Source organism: Homo sapiens, chromosome 20, assembly GCF_000001405.40.
Source record: "Homo sapiens chromosome 20, GRCh38.p14 Primary Assembly".
Lineage (NCBI taxonomy): Eukaryota > Metazoa > Chordata > Mammalia > Primates > Hominidae > Homo > Homo sapiens.
Genome location: NC_000020.11, coordinates 19,095,945 through 19,104,469, shown reverse-complemented (window position 1 = coordinate 19,104,469; position 8,525 = coordinate 19,095,945). Strand labels below are relative to the sequence as shown.

The following is an 8,525-nucleotide window of genomic DNA, read 5'->3' as shown; positions in this document are numbered from 1 at the left end:
GCATCATCACACAGGTAGGTGGGACACACTCAGCTGTGGGGATGGGGATGCTTGTTGCTGCATCTTGCAGAGGATTTATTTGCCAAATGGAGAATGTGGATAAGAGCAAAGTGTTCGGCGGAGCTGTTCATATGGGAGTGAGTAGGGATATCGGACCCAATTTTAAACTCCCCTGGTTCTGAGTGGGTATCAGGATAGCTTCATGACTTTGAAGTCATGGACTCTCAGCCAAAACAGCTGGGTTCAAATCTCAGTCTCACTATTTAACTAGAGTAGTCCAAAGCTCACTATTTAACTCTTCATGCCAATAGAGCCTATCTCATAGAGTTTTGGTAAGAAGTAATTACGTTAATGCATGTTAAATACTGAAAAAAGTACCTGGTGTGGAGTTACCATGGGGGGAGAGGGGAAAGTAGCTAGTGTTATTATTACTTTTAAACAGTGCCATCCCAGAGAAAGTCCTTTCCATAAGCACTTTGGATTCACCCTGATTGATCCGGTGCTGACTTGAACTTCTAAGAAACTCTACATAGCACATAAGTGCCATGTCCTCTCCCCTAAGAACACCCAGCAAGAGAATCCATCTCAACAGCACAGCAGCATGGGCAGCAGGGTGGTAGAGCAGGCTCATACAGGTGCACTTCTTCTGAATCTTCATTTGGGACATCATCACATTGGCAGCTTAAAGTCTGCCATGTAGGAGTGCTTATACCATGGAAATTGTCAAATACTACAAATCAAGACATTTTCTTCCAGAGAGTTGGTTGTTAAACATTTATCAGCTCACCACTGCTCCTTCTTGTAGCCTTGTCGACCTAAGTAGTTTAATTTGTTTAATAGACGGGATGCGTTGTACTTCACATGGAGGAAATCAATCTTACTCTAGCAAGGCTTTAAAGGAAATATCATAGCTTGTCGAATCTATTACCAGAACATGTTCCTACAAAAGGAATGAACAAAATTAGCCTAATGCAAACAGTTTCTCAGGGTAGTTTTGGGAACAAGTACACAAATTCAAGATAACCTCATTCCTAATGCATTGCCATTAATATTGGCTTCCCTGGAACTTAGCAATTTGCAGAGTGCAACTTGGAATGATACAGAGCCTTGCCTCCAGGGAGCTCATGAATAGAGCACATCATTAAGGTACCAACTCCAGCTTTCTGGGACCTTCCAAAGACAGATGGCCCCTGCCATGCACCCCATTTGAGAAAAGTGAGGTCCAGAGGGGAGAAAGCCACAGTGAGATCCCCAAGTCCAGCTGAGCAACCCAAAACAGAAGTAGAAGTCATCTTTAAGATAGTGATTGCTTCTCGTGTTTAGCTAGAGTGGATTTCTAGAAGGTGGACCTAAGGCCATGATGTAGAAGATTGCATTATTGACCCCAATTCTTTCCCCCTCTCTGTGCTCATGTCTTTTACTACATGACTTTGCAATCTCTCACAGTAAAGAGGCAATCATTTCCCTGCCCCTTTGACTTTGGGCTTGTCCATGTGACTTGCTTTAGCCAACAGAATGAGGTGGAAATGAGCCCATGCCTTAGGAGACCTCACATATTTCCTTTTGCCTTGCTGCATCTCCACTATTACTATGAGAAGAACATGCCTGGCTAGCCCACTGGTATAAGGAGTATGAGAATAATGTGGAACAGATACTCCAGCATCGCAATCTGATGCCACCCCATCTCAGCCAACCTGCACACATGGAGCAAGAAGCTGAGCCACCCAGCCATATCCAGTCTAGATCAGCCAAACCCCAGCCAACCCCAGACCTGAGAGTGAGCCCAGCTGAGTCCCTCCAAGCCACCCAGCCCACCTGCATGCTCTTGTATGCCACTGAGACTTTTTAGTTGTTTTTTACACAGCATTATTATTACAAAAGCTAAATGAAAAAAAAAGCTAAGAAGAAAGTTATTTTTCCCCTGTTAAAAGGAGTACTTTCTGTAAAGTTGAAAAGAATTTAAACCATGAAACCAACTGAAGGTTTAGACTGTCATATGCATTTGTCACCTCCAAAGCCCATTCAGCGCCTGGGCCACCACTGGTGTTTAATGAATGTTTCTGTATGTCTGTGTGTCAGGGAAGTGTTTTAACAAAAGCTGTATTCTGTAAAGTGCTTCACTAGACGAAGAATTTTCTGTCATTGGAAATAAGGCAGTATCAGCTGTATTTCATTTCTAGAATACAATAAAATACTTTTTTATTGAACAAATAAGTTAATTAGAACTCGTTCACATGGAAGTGGCAAAAAGGTGACTCCAATTAGCTTGGTTTGCTGACACACAAAGTTAGAATGTCTGAGGACAGAACAGGGTTGGACCAAGTGGTCAGGACTCAGACCCTGGCTCCCCACCCCCATCCCTTGCCCCTGGCTTTGGATTGGTCTGTGTTGGGATCAGAGGCTTGCAGGAATTTAACCCTGTGTTTCCTCCAGGACAATGGTCTAGCATTAATTAATTCAGTGTTTGCAGTGACTGTATAGAACATAAGTACCTCGAATAATAAGAATCAACTCTGTGTGTGTGTGTGTGTGTGTGTGTGTGTGGTGTTTGTGTGTACATACTCAATTTTGGTTTTGATTTATTGATTTCTTGCCTATGCCAACTTTGAAGACACAAATTTGAAAGCCACAAATTAAGCAAGCACCGATAAGAGCAAAACTTGACAACTTACAGCAACGCAAAGAAGGAAGATGCTAAAAGCCCTATACGCCAACTCAAAGGCCCAAAATGTGCAGCATTAGAGGGAACACACTGTTGATCACACATTATTGACTTCCTACTGTGTGCAAGGCTCTTGGCTAAGTTCCCTAAGTGGTGTTACAGCACACAACTGTCCTTGAGGAGTGTATAGTCTAACAGGAAAGATAAGTCACCTGTTACAGATACTTACTGCTGACAAGAGAGGTCAGTGCTGCAAGAATATCAACCCCAAATTAAGTACTACCAGAGAACAGATGGAGGGAGAGCAGGACCACTTTGCTATTTCCCTGTGTGACCCTGGGAAAGTCACCTTTTATCTCTGGGCTTTATTTACTCACTCAATCACTCATTCATTTATTCATTCAAGTATTTATTGAGCACCTGCTATATGTCAGACAGGCCATGTGCTTGACACTGTGATTTTTAAAAATCTAGATTTGTTATTAAAATTTGAATTACAGTTGCATGAAAAGATCTCCAAGGCTGAGATTTAGGGGCCAAGTTTGCAAATGGCGACCTGAAGTTTAAGCTGTTTAAGACCCAGGAGACAGCGCCTGTGTCACCAAAGTACAATGCCAGTGATCCCTCCATAGAGCTGTCCAGTGGGATGGTTCTGACCAGCTCCCCACAGTGACTAACAACAATGACTTCTCCAACAGTGAGCGCCACACTCAGTGGGATTTTTACTTGGAGAAGTTTGAAATATATCCAGGTTTTGCTTCTGGCTTTGTCAAAGAAACTGGACACTAAGAACTTATGTGCCTTTTATTGGGAAAGGATAGAGAATGGGGCGTGGTGATTGGGCTATAAATGATTTTTGTGCTCCTGAAAATACTCCCCTAGTGAGGAACACACCTCTGATCTGCCCAGTGGGATAACTCGGACATTGTAGTTCTGCCTCAAGCTGCTTTCTTTTATGCTCTGGGCTGGACCTTCTTTCCCTGCTCATGGTCTGTGGGTAAGCGGGCTGATCTTGTGTCATCTGCTCTGCTTAGCTCAGTGTTCCTTAACACTGAGCTAATGGCACTAATTAGAGCAGTAGCACTAATGACATTTGGAGCTGGATAATTCCTTGTTGTGGGGCTACTATGTGCATTGTAGGATGTTTCTTTATGTCAGTCTCTATCCACAAGATGCTAGTAGCATCCCCCCAAAATGCCTCCAGACATTTCCAAATGTCCTCTTGGGGGTAAAATCATCCCAAGTTGAAAGGCACTAGCTTAAGGTAACACAAAGAGGCCAGGGCAGTGTGTAGGGTCTTAATAAGTCAGGACAAGTTAAAGCATTCACAGAGCACACAGGCCCAGCTGCTGAGGTTTGCCACATGGCGTGGTCGCTGACTCTTCTCGTGAACCTGCTCCCTTGTTTAGGTAACTGCCTTCCTGCTGGATTTGCTGTGTGCAGGGTTTATGGCTGTTTTCATCTTTCCCACAAGCCAGGGAAACTTTGAACTGTTGGACATGGAGGCCTGGCTTGTGATTCAGGAGCCCCAGTTCTTCCTTAGCAAATGGCACCTCCTCCCTGTGTCTCTGTCCTCCCATCCGTATAGAGATGCTGCCTTGACATTGTCATGGGAGATTACCCGGTGTCATCCCAAAAAACAAATCCATCGGAAACTCGGTTTCTTTTTTTGTCCAGTAAGCAAAATAAGAACCACTGTCAGTGGTTTTAGGTGAGGGCTTAGTGATAGGCTGTCCAGGGAGTTGCCTGGCAAAAACCCCAACATGTAAACTTCAGCCCACCATGGGGGCGGCAGGAGCAAGGACTCTGAAGAGACAGAGCTGAGTTAAAATACAAACTCTGCCATTTCCAAGCTGCCTGACCTTAACCTCTAAGCCTCAGCTTCCTCATCCATAAAATAGAGATTAAAATATTACTCACCTTCTTATCTCATTTTATGAGATGATTCAAATAAAGCGTGCAGGAATCCACCTGGCTCACGGTAAAGACACACACCCCGCCCGAAAGTAGAGATGTTCTTGGGAATTGACTTGTAATCTGACTCTGTGCTTCCTCTCCTACTAAGCCCCACATTTCTGGACGCCCTCTCTCGGCCCCTGGTGCCTCCCTTAGCAGTTGCTCTGGTGTCAGCAACGATGGGCAAAGGAGCTCAGGCCAAACTCACGGAAAGATTGCGCTCGCCAAGCATTGCCACTGTGGACATTTCTGAAATTTGTGCCTGATTCTTCTTGAGAGACAAGGACTAAGAAAAGTCATCAGGTAGCATATGAGAGAGGGTTCTGAAGTCTCAGGCCACAGCAGACAACAGAAGATTCTGAAGTCACAGGCAATGTGGAATTTCTCTTAATTTGAGTGTAAGTCACTCTAAAGCCAGGAAATGCTGTCCCTGGAGCCTCAGCCTTCAGGGAAGCTTCTATTTTTGACCTTCTGTGAGCACATGCTCATCGGTCATTCAGTCAGCATCTAATGCACACTTACCCTGAGCTAGGGCCAGTGCAGGGACAGAAGGTGAGCTGTGGACACTGTCCACAGTGAGCTCGGAGACCAGCTGGCAGCAGGCAGAATGCCTTCCATCTACCTTGGCCTCAGCCAGCCTTTAGGAACTCTGAACACACGGCCACCTGCCCCGAAGGCAGCAGGCTGTGGCTGGTCAGAGACCTACCGTGTGCCACCTCTGTGAACTCCCTGTCTCTCAGAACTCAAAGGGTATGGAAAGGCCACTTGGGAAGGGCAAAGGTCAGGTTTGGGTTCTGTCTCCGCCACAGTCGTCTGTGCAACACTAAGACCTTCAGTTTCCTCCTCTGCAACACTGAGAACTTCAGTTTCCTCCTCTGCAAAATGGAGGCCACACCCAGCCTGCTCACTGCCAAGCTGTTGTCAGGGTCAAAGGAGATGGTAGAAGAGCAGTGGCTTTGCAAACTGTGACGATCTGGGCCAATGTAGAAGCTTTAAAGATAGTATTTTATTTTAATGCAAGTAATTTAAAAGAATAGAAACAGGCAAACAAATAATTGCCCAAAGCCTATTATAAAAAGTGCCAAGGTGCTTCCTTCCTGCCAACTTGCAAATTAGCAGACAGAAGTTTCACAGACCAGACCTTAAGGTTTGTTGAAATCCATGATATTTCACAGAGGCAGCACCCCAGGGCTGGTGAAGGAGGATGTCTTCCATGTGGGGACATTGAGAAGCCCTCAGAAGCTCCCTTTGTGACCCAAAATATCTCTTCTCACCTCCCTCACCCACTGCCCGCAAGCCTCAGATTCCATGTTAAATAGCAGCTTACCTATTTTTTTAACTCAATTGGTGATATAGTATATATGGAGGATTTGTCAATGTTTAACACAGTTAATCCCTTGTCATTGCATTAGGGGAATTTGTTAAGAGTCCCTCCCTCCCCAGGTTAAGTTCTGAATCCCATGTTCCAGCTTTCTTTGCAGCTAAGGTACGTCATGTGATTGGGCTCCACAGACCAGACTCGCGCTCCTGGGACTTTGGGTTGAATGACAGCCACAGAGAGAATCAGGCTGTGCTTGGAACTCATGCACAGAGCATGCAACTCTGTGCTTGGAACTCATGCAAGAGCAAAGGCAAATACATCAATTTCCAGGAGAGTCAGCAGTGGACATCTAGGGGTGGAGCCCAGGGCTAGCACTCCCACAGAAGCGTGTCTGCATGGCAGTGGGGCCATGGTGCCCCTTGGGTGTCCTCCTCGGGGAGGTGCCGCAAGCCTTGCTCTCCTGTCTGTGTGTAGCCTATGGGAACATCCACTTCCCCTAATAAATTCTTTTTCTGCTTAAGTCAGCTATAGTGGGCTTCTGATTTATTTGTGGCCAAAGACCACCACCCCCCAAATCAAGCATGGGATGTGTCTACCACCTTGCTGTGCAAGGATTATCAGAGTAATTTTCCTGACTGACAAGAGGAGTAGAAAAGACTACAAGCCTTCACAGGGCAAAGCAAACTAAAAGACTGGAAGTTGGTGGGGAGAAAAGAAAATGCAGGTATTTGTGGTTGTGTCCATGTGTGAAGAAAGCAGCTCATGCTGAGTAACTGCCAAATTTCTGCTGTACCCATCTTCTGCCCATGCCCAGATCCACTCTGTATTGCTGGAAACAAGTAGATTTTGCCAGTGAGAGCCCTGGTGGAAAATCAGAAGAGAGAAGGAAGACAAGGTAAGGTGCCTTTCTCTCCTCTCCTTTTCTCCCCTCTCCCTCTTCTCACTCTGTCTCTGTCTCTGTCTCTGTCTCTGTGTCTCTTTCTCTCTCTCTCTCCCTCCTGCCCTCCCTGCAACTCCTTCATGGTCCCACCACCCATGGGCAGTCCCAGCTTCTGGGTTCTGACCTTCTCCTCTCTCCTGCAGCCCAGCGGGGGCCCCATCTTCCTCCAGGCTGCCTCACAGGCCCCTCTGTTGTCTCTTGGCCTCTATCACATGTGCCACTAATTCCCTGTGCTAAATATTCTTTCAGTGAAAGACTTAGAATGATTTCTGATTTGAGGACTGACCCCTGACTTATGTAAGAGTTTGGACAATTTGCCAATGACGGTTCTGCTTCAGCCTGGCTCTGGTTACTTAAACGCCATTATAGTTATTACTATCAATGGTAATGACGCTAAATTTATGTATATCCCAATGTATCCAAAAATAATGTGTGCAAGAACACAGCACAAAAAGACAGCAACAACCTAACTGCAAACCATGAAGAGAAGAATCATAAAATAAGATTATGTATGGGAACATACACTGGGACATTTTGCTGAGTCACAATGCACATTCCCACCAGGCCATTGCTCAGCAAGTCAGCTTGGATTCTGCAGATGTGGAACTGAACCAGGCTCAACCCCATGGGAGAAACAGACAACCTGTTTATGGCAAAGGCAACAGTCCTCTGAGACACATTATTTATCACTAGTCCTTTCAATCAAATTTAAAATATATATACATACACACATACACACATAAACACACACAAGTGTATATATATATATAAAATATACTACATAATAGTATTTATAAACATTATCTGCTACATAATATATTTACTATATATAATGTATATATAGTATAGTATTGCATATATTGTACTATATATTATATACTGCACTATACTATACAATAATATACTATATTATACTATACTATATTATGCTACATTATACCATATATTACATACTATACATATAATATATACTATATATTATGTTATGTAGTATGCAATATGTATATATGTACATATACATATATACATATGTAAATATATAAATATGTATATATGTACATATACATATATACATATGTAAATATATAAATATGTATATATGTACATACACATGTATATATACATATTTATATATTTTATACATAAATATTACATGCACATGTATATACAAAATACATATGTATACATGTGTATTATATACACACACATATAATATATATATACACATGTGTGTGTATATAGGAAGATGATGGCATAGTGTCTCTGGGCCTGCATTTATCCATTTTCTGTTTAACAGTTGAATTCTTGTGGCAATTAGCAGATCCTTAATTTATAAAAACCTGGTGCCTCTGCAGGAGATAAGCAGAACAATCAGATATTTTTAAAGTGCTGTTTCTCTAAATATACAGCCAGTCACCAACAAGCAACACTGTGAACTGCTGAAACAGCCAAAGAATCAAATAACTGCACAAGGCTCTCAAGTGGGGAGGGTGATTCCAGATTAAGCAAACAAGGGAGTGGAGTGGTGTCTTTACCTCCTGGTGAACTGCAAGTTTGCAGTGGGCCAGGATTTCAGGATGGGCGCCTCCCCTGCTTACCATGTGAAATGCCCCCTGCAGGGCATGTGAGTGAGGCTTTTCCTGGAA

At 43.7% G+C, this 8,525-nt stretch overlaps 1 annotated feature.

The window, feature by feature from the left end:
• Window positions 6,193–7,392: an enhancer, noted in NCBI's record as "MED14-independent group 3 enhancer chr20:19077722-19078921 (GRCh37/hg19 assembly coordinates)". NCBI's record gives its function as "activates an origin of replication core promoter dependent on BRD2, BRD4, P300/CBP and CDK7 cofactors, and independent of MED14, by STARR-seq in HCT116 cells {active_cell/tissue: HCT116}" and the evidence as "EXISTENCE:reporter gene assay evidence [ECO:0000049][PMID:35650434]".